General features: G+C 43.3%; 1 protein-coding gene across 4 annotated transcripts in view, besides 5 other annotated features; it reads right to left on the reverse strand.

The window, feature by feature from the left end:
• Positions 1 to 2,466, reverse strand: part of P4HA1 (prolyl 4-hydroxylase subunit alpha 1) — an 89,650-nt gene extending 87,184 nt beyond the window's left edge. For all 4 annotated transcript variants that reach the window (NM_001142596.2, NM_000917.4, NM_001017962.3 and 1 more), the window contains exon 1: positions 2,366 to 2,466. The gene's annotated coding sequence lies outside the window, so the exon portion shown is untranslated. The remainder of the gene's footprint in view (positions 1 to 2,365) is intronic.
• Positions 1,847 to 2,602: an enhancer, noted in NCBI's record as "H3K27ac hESC enhancer chr10:74856005-74856760 (GRCh37/hg19 assembly coordinates)". NCBI's record gives its function as "activates a minimal SCP1, AML or CMV promoter by ChIP-STARR-seq in naive H9 embryonic stem cells {active_cell/tissue: H9 hESC(naive)}" and the evidence as "EXISTENCE:reporter gene assay evidence [ECO:0000049][PMID:30033119]".
• Positions 1,847 to 2,816: a biological region, named in NCBI's record as "H3K27ac hESC enhancer GRCh37_chr10:74856005-74856760".
• Positions 2,487 to 2,816: a silencer, noted in NCBI's record as "silent region_2480". NCBI's record gives its function as "represses an Ori minimal core promoter by ATAC-STARR-seq in GM12878 lymphoblastoid cells {active_cell/tissue: GM12878}" and the evidence as "EXISTENCE:reporter gene assay evidence [ECO:0000049][PMID:35858748]".
• Positions 2,847 to 2,916: an enhancer, noted in NCBI's record as "active region_3555". NCBI's record gives its function as "activates an Ori minimal core promoter by ATAC-STARR-seq in GM12878 lymphoblastoid cells {active_cell/tissue: GM12878}" and the evidence as "EXISTENCE:reporter gene assay evidence [ECO:0000049][PMID:35858748]".
• Positions 12,787 to 13,027: a silencer, noted in NCBI's record as "fragment chr10:74866945-74867185 (GRCh37/hg19 assembly coordinates)". NCBI's record gives its function as "represses an EF-1alpha promoter that drives an FKBP-Casp9 reporter gene in an ReSE screen in K562 erythroleukemia cells {active_cell/tissue: K562}" and the evidence as "EXISTENCE:reporter gene assay evidence [ECO:0000049][PMID:32094911]".

Below are 13,526 nucleotides of genomic sequence, written 5' to 3' on the forward strand. Positions count from 1 at the left end.
GGGGGCAGGAAGTGACATACAAAATTCCATGTAGGGTGTATTTGCATTTTCTGACATAGGACCACACCTTTCATCAGATTCTCAAAGGATTTCATGACCTTAAAATAGTTTGAGAACCACTATTATGTATCTCACAGGTCAATTCAAGAGCAATAATTATATCCTAGTTGATAACTGGTTGCTAAGTAAAATAAAGCATTCCTTCCACAGAAAGGAAGGCTCACAAGCTTTATGGCTGTCCCAGCTCTTGCTGCATCTCTGGAATAAATGCCGTTTGAACTTAATTGCCCTACTGAAAAACACTGCTTTTCAGTATACAACTTATTCTGCACTAATAGAAAAGGTTAACAGCTCCTTGCCAAAAAGCCAAGATTCATCTGCAACAACCCAGACTACAAGGCAATATAAAACTTTTTTTCAATAGTCTTTTGCACTAATTTTTTTGGCATAATTAAAAGTTGTACACATTTTTCAACTGTTTTACCATCTAAGTTACCAAAACACAAAATGGCCAATGTAATTATCCGCCTACCAAAGTCCTGATTTTCAGTACTTCAAAATAAAACTCATTTCAAAATGTCAATAAAAACAGCACTACCCATTTAAAAGAGACAGAAATAGTCCTTTTCCTAGTTAGTCTATGTAAATCTAAGAAACATTTGTCATCAGCTATCAAAAACAATGGCAGGACTTAAGGCACAATGTCCCAAAACCAAAACTGACTATGAATTTTATTAAAGGTAAGTGATAAAGTCTCTTTTCCCACATAAAGAAAAAAGTAAAATTTGAAGTTCACATTTCAGATTCTTAAATTACGCTCACAAGCTAAAAAAAAAAAAAAAAAAAAAAAAAAATCACGGGGTGTGTATTCACATTTCACATGAAGACAAAATATAGTTGAGGTTGTTCACTTTCAGCTTCTTGAATATATCGTCTTAGGATACCGATTTTCTCCATAGAAACTTGATTCTAAAAATCCCTTTAAAATGTTTTTTAAATTAACTTCCAACGTTCCTGCTATGCAGACTGAATTCTTCATCTGATTATTTTAGGAAAAGACTAGCCTCATTCATAAGCTACGTCTAAACCTAAAAGGGGAAATACGTTTCTAACCAGAACTTTAAAAAAAAAAAAAAAAAAGAGTAAAAAATTGATGAAAGAACGCTGCTGCCACGTCTTTGCCCCTCCCCCCTTCACGTAGTGGCTATTTCATCCCCTCCGAGTGCATTCCAAGCGAAAGTCCGAGAACCACTGCTCTCGGAGAAACCAGAAACAGTTAAGTGGAAATTGGCAAGTCTCTTTGGCCTTTTAGATCAATTCCTAAAAGAGGATCTAGCTGCTTCTTCAACCCTTTCTTAAAGAAAACAGTGCAAAATTCCAAGAGTCTTCACTCTATCCGGAACGCGTAAGATGTTAGTGTCTAAACATTGAATTTGTATGTAACAGAGTCGATTATTTAGGAGAAAGAGTCTCACAGTTATCATACCATCCTTCCTCCCCATTGAAACATACATCCGGGGGCCAGCCATGTAATCCAACTCAAAATCCTCACACAACCATGGAATTTGTTGGACTGATGTGGACTTTTAAAAGCTGCAAATTCTCGGCAGAGAGAGACAGAGAGACAGAGATTGAGAGAAGAGCTCTTGTCTCTTTTTAAAAAAAGTTATGGGGAAGAAGAGGGAAGGAAGCTTCCCTGACGACGAGGTGACCTGAGAGCCTACTTCCTCGGCGCTACGAGCAGAAAGCTCGGCGCCCCGGGCTACGTCTGGCAGCTAATGCTGCACCGCTGCGCGCAACAGATGAGTTCAGCCGGAACTTTCTGGGGAGGTCCCCCCAGCTCCCGGCGACTTTCGATAGGGCAAAAATGCCTGGCGCGCTGCGGATCCAGCTCCAAGCCTTAAAATCCGCTCTCCACCGCCACATGCGAACCATCTGCGGCTGTGGCGGCCAAAAGCCCACGCCCCGCGCTTGCGTTCCCCTTAGCCTCGTTAGGGAGGACCAGGTGCAGGGGAACTTGGAAAAAAAAAAAAGCAACAGAGTGATTCCTCCCCGGGAAGGAAAATTCAAGAAAGTCCTGGTCCCTAGGGCGGGGACTGAGGCTGCAGCAGCCCCAGCGGTCCGAGGCGCACTAGGGACAGAGGTGGGAAGGGGGGCACGAAGGAGCGCGGGCGCCGGGAGTCGCGTGGCGCAGGGAGAGGGGCCGAGTCTCCCGAGGGGAAGGAACCGAGGCTGCTGTGGTAACCTGGGGAACCCCCGCCCCAGAAGTACCACCACAGCGGGAAGGAATGGATCGCCGCAGCCGTCCGAGAAGGTCCACGGCTGCCCAGTGGCCTCAGTCTCCGGGATCGAGGGAGCGTCTCACCTGGAAAGTGGGACGAGAGGGCGGCGCGCTCTTCAGCCCCCAGTCGCCTCCACTCGGAGCGGCTACTTCCTACCCTCAGCCCGCTGGCGGCGCGACTGGGCAGCAGAGGGAGCCCGTTAGCCCTTTTATAACCTCTAGGCCGCGATGGCAGCGCCAGGGAGGAGGCGACTGCAGCCCTCGCTACGTGAGCTCGATCACACCAGCGCCCCGGCGACTGCGCAGGCGCCAAGCCCGTGCCTCCCTGCTGCCCCCACCCGTGGCCGGCCCGTGGAGTCTGAGGCCGAGAGGAGTGGCTGGGACCGGCCGCCGTGGTGTGGGTAAGCGGGAGTGGGATGTAACGCGCCTGCGCAGGGTTCTCGCCCCGCCACCGTTACCGTGGTTACCACGGGGTTTCCCCCGCTCCTGTTCAGTTTGCCTCCTTGATTTCAGGGTCCGCGTCAGGCCTAAGCGACGAGGCCGCCGGCAATAAAGTATCTTAAAAATGAGAAGAGGAACGTGGGAGTGTAGAAAATAAAGCAGAATTTTTCTAGGGTGGAAAATAATAGAGATTCAGTCTTGGTATCTCAGCTGTCTTGTTCCTCTCACATCTCAGCACTCATTTTATACTAATCGTGCTCTATCTCCTACCTTTATACCTTATCAGTAGATAATAGACTAAGAGCTCCAGGGTCAGGTTATCTCAATTCAAATCCTGCCTCAATCCTGTGTGTAACACTAGGCATTAACAACCTCTCCGTATCCGTTTACTCATCTGTAAAATAGAAATGACGGTACTACCCATCTTGTAAGATTCTTGTGAGAATAAAATGAGATAATGTATGTAAAGCACTTAACACATGCCTCACACACAGAAATGACTTAGTAAATATTAGATTCTCCAGTAACATTAATTTATATAAGGCACCCAATGTTGCGTTTGATCTTAGTCTAACATTTGCCTTAGTTATAAAGTAACCCCAAACCAAGGGTTTCTTTATATCTCCCTGTACTATGAGGGAGAATACAATGAAGAAGATAATTTTTTCCTTGTCAGTTAAAGAGAAAAATGAGTTGCTAAGACTTGTTATTCATTAAGAATTGTGGTTTCTAAAGTTTTCCATGTATGCTAAAAAGTATAGCAATAATTAACATTTGACTTACGCAGGAGGTGAGTGATTATATAGCTACAGAAAGAGAGAGAGGGTACTCTGGGAGCACTAGGCAACTAAAAAGTAGATATAATGATGTCTAAATCAATGGTTCTGAAAGCGTAGTCAGGGAATCCATAAGGTCAAAATTATTTTCATACTAAGACTTTATTTTCATACTAAGACTTACTGCCTTTTTCACTCTAATAACAATACAGTGAGGTCTTCCAGAGACTACATGCCTGTGATACAGATGGAACGCAGACACAGATATGAGAATCTTCTATTAGCCCAGACACTGAAGAGATTTGCAGAAATGTAAAATAATGCCACTCTTCTCACTAAATTATTTTGCTTTGGAAAATAGTTATTTTTCATTAAAAATATGTTATTAGGCCAAATGAAGTGGCTCACACCTGTAATCCCAGCACTTTGGGAGGCCGAGGCGGGAAGATCACCTGAGCCCAGGAGTTCGAAATCAGCCTGGGCAACATGGCCAGACCCTCTCTCAAAAAAAAAGTTATTTATGTTATGTTAACATGTAACAGGTTTATTATTGTTGTTTTAAATGAATAAATATTTTATATGTTTGTTTTAATTCCTAATATAGTAAATGTTGATAAATATGATCCACATAAAAGCTTTTTGGAGTCCTCAATACTTTTTAGGAGTATAAAGTAATTATAAGACCAAAGAGGCAGGGCGTGCGGTGGCTCACACCTGTAATCCCTGCACTTTGCGAGGCCAAGGCAGACGGATCACAAGGTCAGGAGATCAAGACCATCCTGGCCAACATGGTGAAACCCTGTCTCTACTAAAAATGCAAAAATTAGCTGGGCATGGTGGCAAACACCTGTAATCCCAGCTACTCAGGAGGCGGAGGCATGAGAATCATTTGGACCCAGGAGGCAGAGGTTGCAGTGAGCTGAGATCACACCATTGCACTCCAGCCTGGGGACAGAGTCAGACTCCATCTCAAAAAAAAAAAAAAAAACTTCCTCAAATGGAGCTGTAATCAACATATTCACTAGCCCTACATAGAGCTGACTCTGAAAGTTGACAGTTTACTCAGTAATTAAAATGGCCGTAGACTCTGAAGCAGATTTACTGTGAAGCTAAGGAGGCTTCAGCTTCAGGTGCCCTCATTTACACTAGCCCTTTCCAAGTCCCTGGAAGGGTCCCTAGTAATATGTTCACACTGTCCTATGCTTCTGTAAAATTTATAAAAGTAATGTATTTTAAACTGCAATCTTTAGTCCTTAGTGACTTCCCTCCACCATGTTTCCCTTTGTCTAGTGTTGGAGTGGCAAGCAAACATTTTTGAAATTTAGCTAAAGGGAAGTTGAGTTAGGAATACATTTGGTTTGAATTTACTGGGATATATTTTTATAACCCACAGTCACTTCCATGTGTAGTTAAGATATTGCCAGCTGTCCCAGTGGCTTCCAAGAATACTCCAATTGCCCGTTGTGCTGATCCACCCAGCATTGCAAAACAAAGGTGCAGGGCCAGAACTCTTGAAGTTATTTTAATGTGTCCAATGTTCTAGCATCAAAAACTATGTGAATAGTAGAAGAGAAGCAGGGTTGAAATTTTGGGAACCTGAAGCTAATCTGTGGGAAATTATTCCAATTATTGGATGTGTAAAATTGTAAAGATTTAGCATTCATCAATACCTAGCCAAAAAAGTGTTGTTTTTTTCTTAGAGACAGGGTTTCACTCTGTCACCCAGGCTGGAGTGGAGTTGCATGATCATAGCTCACCGTAACCTCCAACTACTGCGCTCCAGCGATCCTCCCACCTCCCAAGTAGCTGGGACTACAGGCCTGCACGACCATGTCCGGGTTTTCTGTAGGATTTTGTTTTGTTTGCAGAGACAGGTCTCACCATGTGTCCAGGCTGGTCTTGAACTCCTGGGTTCAAGCAATCCTCCCACCTAGGCCTCCCAAAGTGCTGCAATAACAGTCATGAGCTGTGGGGCCCTGCCCAAAAAAGAAATTTATATTTTTTTCTCAGAACTTGATGAGGACATCCACAACAAACTAAAGAGTGTCATTAGTTTAAAGAAATCTGATGGGTCCTGAACTCTTTTTAAGTCATATATTAAATAATCTTTTGGAAGCCGGATGTGGTGGCTCTCCCAGGTAATTGCAGAACTTTGGGAGGCCCAGGTGGGAGGATCTATTAAGGCCAGAAGTTTGAGACCAGCCAGGGCAAGATGGTGAGACCTTACCTCTACAAAAAAAGTTTTTTTAATTAGCTGGGTGTGGTGATATGTGTCTGTAGTCCCAGCTATTCAGGAGGCTGAGGCTAGAGGATCAGGATATAGGATGCAGCAAGCTGTGGTCTCACTACTGCACTCCAGCCTGGGCAACAGAAAGAGATCCTGTGTCTAAATAAATAAATAGCTTATTGGAGATTTTTCAAAACTGGACAACAAGCCTAATAATTTATATGACATTACCAACAATGAGTTGTGAACTTTAATCAATCACATATGCTATGTGAATTAGAAGAGAAAGAGAGTCTAGGTTAGTAATTCAAGATTCATAGAATAAATATTTATAGAACACCTACCTTCTGTGTCCAAGACACTGCCTACTGAGCTGTGGAAGATCAAACTTTAATTAGACAATCTCTGCTTTTAAGGAGCTTATAATCTTTGTTGAAAAGAATTAAAACCTGCACTGTGGCAATAGAAATTCATTCATCCATAAATAATTGCCTGCCCATATAAGCCAGACTATGGTAAGTGCTGGGTATATGATTCCTGCTGTTGTAGAATTTGGAGTCCTTTGAAGAAAACCTACAACATAAAAATGTATGTTTCAGCTGGGCATGGTGGCTCACACCTGTAATCCAAGCACTTTGGGAGGCTGAGGTGGGTGGATCACCTGAGGTCAGGAGTTCGAGACCAGCCTGACCAATATGTTGAAACCGCACCTCTACTAAAAATATAAAAACTAGCCAGGCATGGTGGCGTGCACCTGTAATCCCAGCTACTCTGGAGGCTGAGACAGGAGAATTGCTTGAACCTGGGAGGCAGAGGTTGCAGTAAGCTGAGATCACACCACTGCACTCCAGCCTGGACAACAGAGTGAAAAAGAAAAAAAAAAAGTATGTATGTACAACATTAAAAAACATACACACACAAATATACGTACATACACATTTGACAAGTGAAAATAATAAGGAAACCAGGTGTGGCTCACACCTGTAATCCCAGTACTTTGGGTGGCCGAGCTGGGTGGATCACCTGAGGTCAGAAGTTCGAGACCAGCCTGGCCAACATGGTGAAACCCCCATGTCTGTTAAAAAAAAAATACATATATATATATATGAAAATTAGATGGACATCATGGCGCATGTCTGTAGTTCCAGCTACTCGGGAGGCTAAGGCACAAGAATCACTTAAAACCGGGAGGTGGAGGTTGCAGTGAGCTGAGATCATGCAACTGCCCTCCAGCCTGGATAACAGAGTGAGATTCCATCTAAAAAAAAAAAAAAAAAAAAAAGGCTTGGTGCGGTGGCTCACAACTGTAATCCCAGAACTTTGGGAGGTGGAGGCAGGCGGATCACAACGTCAAGAGATTGAGACCAGCCTGGCCAACATGGTGTAACCCCGTCTCTACTAAAAATACAAAAATTAGCTGGGTGTGGTGGTGCGCGCCTGCAGTCCCAGGTACTCGGGAGGATGAGGCAGGAGAATTGCTTGAACCCAGGAGGCAGAGGTTGCAGTGAGCCAAGGTTGTGCCATGGCACTCCAGCCTGGCAACAGAATGAGACTCCATCTCAAAAAAAAAAAAAAAAATATATATATATATATATATATATATATGGCCAATAAACATGTTTGGCGGGGCACAGTGGCTCATACCTGTAATCTCAGCACTTTGGGAGGCCAAGGCGGGCAGATCACCTGAGGTCAGGAGTTCGAGACCAACCTATCCAACATGGTGGAACCCGGTCTCTACTAAAAATACAAAAAAAAAAATTAGCTGGGTGTAGTGGTGCACGCCTGTAGTCCCAGCTACTTGGGAGGCTGAGGCAGGAGAATTGCTTGAACCCCAGATGCGGAGGTTGCAGTGAGCCAAGATTGTGCCATTGCACTCCAGCCTGGGCAACAAGAGCAAAACTCCGTCTCAAAAAAAAAAAAAAATGAAATCATCAGGGTGCTCTGGGAAAGAAGAAGGCGAGGGACATGGCTTAGATTGATATCACAAGAAAAGTATCACTATAGAAATGACATTTAAACTGAGAACTGAGTTAGCTAGATGAAGTGTGTGAATAAGAACATTTAGAGAGAGAGAATATTACTGTGTGTCTTTATATGTGAGGTCCATGTAGCAACACACACACACACACACACACACACACACACACACACACACACACACAACTTGGTGCATTTGAGGAGCTAAAGAAATTCAATGTGGGGCCGGGCGCAGTGGCTCACGCCTGTAATCCCAGCACTTTGGGAGGCTGAGGCAGGTGGATCATGAGGTCAGGAGATTGAGACCATCCTGGCTAACACGGTGAAACCCCATCTCTACTAAAAATACAAAAAATTAGCCGGGCGTGGTGGCGGGCGCCTGTAGTCCCAGCTACTCAGGAGGCTGAGGTAGGAGAATGGCGTGAACCCGGGAGGCAGAGCTTGCAGTGAGCCCAGATCGCGCCACTGCACTCCAGCCTGGGTGACAGAGCGAGACTCCGTCTGAAAAAGAAAAAGAAAAAAAAAAAGAAATTCAATGTGGCTACAATGCAGTAAGGAAGGAAGGAACCCATATGAGAGGAGATTGGAGAGGTACGCAAAAGCTAGGTCATGCCGACCTGTTAAGTACTGTAACAAGTAATGGGAAAGCATTGAAGTATTTTAAGCAATGGAGTAACCTTATGTTATTTACCTTTAACAGAGGAAAAACTCAGTGTAAGAGGATGGGTTTACCTGTGAATGCCAAGTCAGCAGACATGTGGACGGGCCTTGGGAGTAGAAGTGATAGAGACTTCTTCCTTGCTTATGAATAGGGACATGACAATCAAGACATAAGGGATTCTAGAATGTAGCTGAAACTGGAAATGACTCTAGTCACTAACATGCTGGCACTTTGGCATTGTGGGAAATGGCTGCAGTGAGGTAGTCAGACCACCTGCGTCAAGTAGCCTCAACGGGGATGCTCACTGTGGTAGGCAGAATAATGGCCCCTCAAAAAGGTCCACATCCTAATTTCGAAAACCTGTGAATATGTTACCGTACACGGCAAAAGAACTTTGCAGATGTAATTAAAACTGGCAAAATAATGGTATCAACAACCAAAATAAGAATACTGGGGCTAAGCACAGTGGCTCATGCCTGTAACACCAGCGGTTTGGGAGACCAAGGTAGGAGGATCACTTGAGCCTAGGAATTTGAGACCAGCCTTAGCAACGTGGCAAGACTCTGTCTCTAAAAAAAAAAAAGAAAAATTATCTAGGCATGGTGGCGCCCACCTGCTGTCTCAGCTACTGGGGAGGTTGAGGTGGGAGAATTGCCTGAGGCTGGGAGGTGAAGGCTGCAGTTAGCTGTGATTGCACCACTGCACTCCAGCCTGGGCAACAGAGTGAGATCCTGTCTCAAAAAAATTAAAATAAAAATTGGGAAATTGAGCTGAGTCTATTAATGCAACCAAATCTGCCACAGTAGTTCCATTAAAAGTATTCCTCAAATTGGCCAGGCTCGGTAGCTCATGCCTATAATCCCAGCATTCTGGGAGGCCTAGGCAGGTGGATCACTTGAGGTCAGGAGTTTGAGAGCAGCCTGGCCAACATGGTGAAACTATCTCTACTAAAATTACAAAAATTAGCTGGGCCTGGTGGCACGAGCCTGTAATCCCAGCTACTTGGGAGGCTGAGGCAGGAAAATCTCAAAATTACGGAAATTGGTAGAAAGTATAACTTCTTATTTGGAAGAAACAGTAGTAGAATCAGTGAACCCAGATTCTAGTCCACCATTAACGGTATCTGAGTGAATTATTTTAACTTTTATGCAAAAGTTTCTTCATTCACCAAATGGCCATAATAATATTTGCCCTACCATCCACAGAAAGACATTATAAAAGTCAATTGATGTTATTTTGAAATTTCTTCGAAAAGTATGAAGTACTAGATTAATATGAGTAATCATTATTGGATGCTGTATGATATGCAATTGTGTGGTATTTTATTTTGTTGTTGTTTGTTAATCATAGAGCCAAAGCTGATAAGTTTTAGACCTGTTTCAATGACTTTGAGAAAATTATGAAATGAAAAAATAATTATAACTAATCTTAATGCAGACAAAAAGTAAAGAAGAGGGATATATACTTGTGGTATCTATAATTAGTCTAAGGTTAATGTTAGTTCTTAAGTCAATCCAGAAGTGAAACATCACTGCTTCATATCCTATATAATTTAAGGAATACTTTGTTGTTGTTGTTGAGACAGAGTCTCCCTTTGTCACACAGGCTGGAGTGCAGTGGCACCATCTTGGTTCACTACAACCTCTGCCTCCCAGGTTCAAGCGATTTTCCTTGTAATTTTAGTAGAGATAGTTTCACCATGTTGGCCAGGCTGCTCTCAAACTCCTGACCTCAAATGATCCACCTGCCTAGGCCTCCCAGAATGCTGGGATTATAGGCATGAGCTACCGAGCCTGGCCAATTTGAGGAATACTTTTAATGGAACTACTGTGGCAGATTGGTTGCATTAATAGATCCAATTCTTCTCCACTTTCTGTATTCATGTCTGTGTAGTAAAAAATAAACCTTGCCCCAACAGGTATATAAAAATATGCTCAACATCATTATCATCAGAGAAATGCACATCAAAACTACGAGATATCAACTCACCCCAGTTAAAATAGCTTTTATCCAAAATGCAGTCAATAATGAATGCTGGCGAAGATATGGAGAAAGGAGAATTCTCATACACCGTTGGTAGGAATGTAAATTAGTACAGCCACTATGGAGAACAGGATGAAGGTTCCCCAAAAAACTAAAAATAGGACTATCATCTTAATATAATCCAGCAATCCTACTGCTGGGTATTAACCCAAAAGAAAACAAATCAGTACATCAAAGAGATATCTGGCCAGGCATGGTGGCTCATGCCTGTAATCCTAGCACTTTGGGAGGCCGAGGCTGGTGGATCACTTGAGGGCAGGAGTTTGAGACCAGCCTGGGCAACATGGCGAAACCCTGTCTCTACTAAAAATACAAAAATTGGCAGGGCGCGGTGGCTCACGCCTGTAATCCCAGCACTTTGGGAGGCCGAGGCGGGTGGATCACGAGGTCAAGAGATCGAGACTATCCTGGCTAACATGGTGAAACACCGTCTATACTAAAAATACAAAAAATTAGCCGGGCGCGGTGGCAGGCGCCTGTAGTCCCAGCTACTCGCTACTCGGGAGGCTGAGGCAGGAGAATGGCGTGAACCCGGGAGGCGGAGCTTGCAGTGAGCTGAGATCGCGCCACTGCTCTCCAGCCTGGGCGACAGAGCGAGACTCCGTCTCAGAAAAAAAAAAAAAATTAGCCGGGTTTGGTGGCGGGTGCCTGTGTTCCCAGCTCCTGGGGAGGCTGAGGCTGGATCACTTGAGCCTGGGAGGTTGAGGCTGCAGTAAGCCGTGACTGCGCCATTGCACTCCAGCCTGGGCGACAGAGGGAGACTTTGTCTTTTTTTGTTTGTTTGTTTGAGACAGAGTCTCCCTCTATCGCCCAGGATGGAGTGCAAGTGGCGCGATCTCGGCTCACTGATACCTCTGCTTCCCGGGTCCCAGTTCAAGCAATTCTTCCTCAGCCTCCGGAGTAGCTGGGATTACAGGCACGCGCCACCATACCTAGCTAATTTTTGTATTTTTAGTAGAGACAGGGTTTCTCCATATTGGCCAGGCTGGTCTTGAACTCCTGACCTCGTGATCCACCCGCCTCGACCTCCCAAAGTGCTAGGATTACGGTCGTGAGCCACCGCGCCCGGCCAAGATCCTGTCTTAAAAAAAAAAAAATCCCACAAAAAACAAAATCCTGTTTCCATGAGCAGTTACTCCTCATTATCTTTGAACACTATCCTCATCCCCATCCCTAGGCACTTTTTGTCTTACAGATTTGCCTATTCTGAATATTTCACATAAGTGCAATCACAACCCTAGGTATATTTCATATAAATTGCCCCCATTCCTAGGCAGCCACTAATCTGCTTTCTGTCTCTATAGATTTGCCTGTTATGAACATTTCGTAGGAATACAATATGTACTCTTTTGTGACTGGATTATTTCACTTAGCATAATGTTTTCAAGCTTTATCCATATTGTAGTATATATAATTCCTCTTTGTTGCCAGAAATATGTCATTGCATGGTTGGATATGCCACATTTTGCTTCTCCATTTATCAGTTGATAGTCACTTGGGTTGTTTGTACTTTTTTTGAATATTGTGAATAATGCTTCACAAAAATTAATTTACAAGTTTTTGTGGACATTTGTTTTCAATTCTCTTGGGAATATAAATCCAGGAGTTAAATTGCTGGGTCATTTGGTAACTCTATATTTAACTTTACGAGGAACCACCAAACTGTTTTCAAAAGCGGCAGCACCATTTACAATTTTACCAGCTGTGTATGAGGATTCCAATTCCACCACATCCTCACCACTCCTTGTCATTATCTGCATTTTGATTGTAGCTATCCTATTGGGTATAAAATGATATCTCATTATGATTTTGATTTGCATTTCCCATGCAAATCTTTTCATGTGCTTATGGGTCATTTTTCTATCTTCCTTGAAGACGTATCTATTCAGATTCTTTGCTCATTTTAAAATTTGGTTGTTTATCTTTTTATTACTGTGTTATTTAAGTGTTCTTTATATATTCCAGATAGAAGTCCCTTATCAGATACATGTCTTGCAATAATTTTTCCCAATTCTGTGAGTTATCTTTCTATATTCTTCATGATATTGTTTGTAGCACAAAAGTTCTTAAAATTTTGATGTCTTATTTTTTCCTTTGTTGCTTATGCAAAAAAAGCCAGATGAGATTTTAATAGAAATTGCATTGAATCTGTAGATCAATTTGGGGAATATGCCATTTTAACCAAATTAGGCCTTCCAATTTATGAACATGGGATTCTTTCAATCCTTCCAATATTTTCCAATATTTATGTTCAACTTCTCTACCTCACACCCAGTCAGAGATACAATCCAGGTCTATAGTATGGTGGTCAAAAGTACAGATTCTTTCTTAAGACAGATTTAGTTTAATATCCCAACACTTCTACTGATTAGCTGTGTAAATATGGACAAATTACTTTTCTTTTTTTTTTTTTTGAGATGGAGTTTCACTCTGTTGCCCAGGCTGGAATGTAGTCGCTCAATCTTGGCTCACTGCAACCTCCACCTCCTGGGTTCAAGCGATTCTCTTGTCTCAGCCTCCCGAGTAGCTGGGGCTACAAGAGCACGCCACCACACTTGGCTCATTTTTGTATTTTTAGTAGAGACGGGGTTTCACGATATTGGCCAGGCTGGTCTCAAACTCCTGACCTTGTGATCCACCCGCCTTGGCCTCCCAAAGTGCTGGGATTACAGGTGTGAGCCACCGCGCCTCCCCTACTTAATTTTTCTAAGCCTATGTTTTCTCATCTGTAACGTGCAATTTTTTTTTTTTTAGACAGGGTGTCTCTGTCACCAAGCTGGATGGAGTGCAGCATCATGATCTCGGCTCACTCCTGGGCTCAAGCAGTCCTCCTATCTCAGCCTCCTGAGTAGCTGGGACCGCAGGTGCATGCCACCATGCCCAGCTAATTTTCGTATTTTTTGTAGAGATGGTGTTTTGTCATGTTGCTCAGGCTGGTTTCTTGAACTCCTGAACTCAAGCAATCTTCCCACCTCAGTCCCCAAAGTGCTGGGATTACAGGCGTGTGCCACCACACGTAGCCTAAAGTACAAATTTTAATACAGATTTCATAGGATGTGAGGATTAATGACAAATATGTGGGACACTTAGCATAGTGCCTGGAACACAGCAAATGCT

The sequence above is a fragment of the Homo sapiens genome, chromosome 10 (genome assembly GCF_000001405.40).
Source record: "Homo sapiens chromosome 10, GRCh38.p14 Primary Assembly".
Classification (NCBI taxonomy): domain Eukaryota; kingdom Metazoa; phylum Chordata; class Mammalia; order Primates; family Hominidae; genus Homo; species Homo sapiens.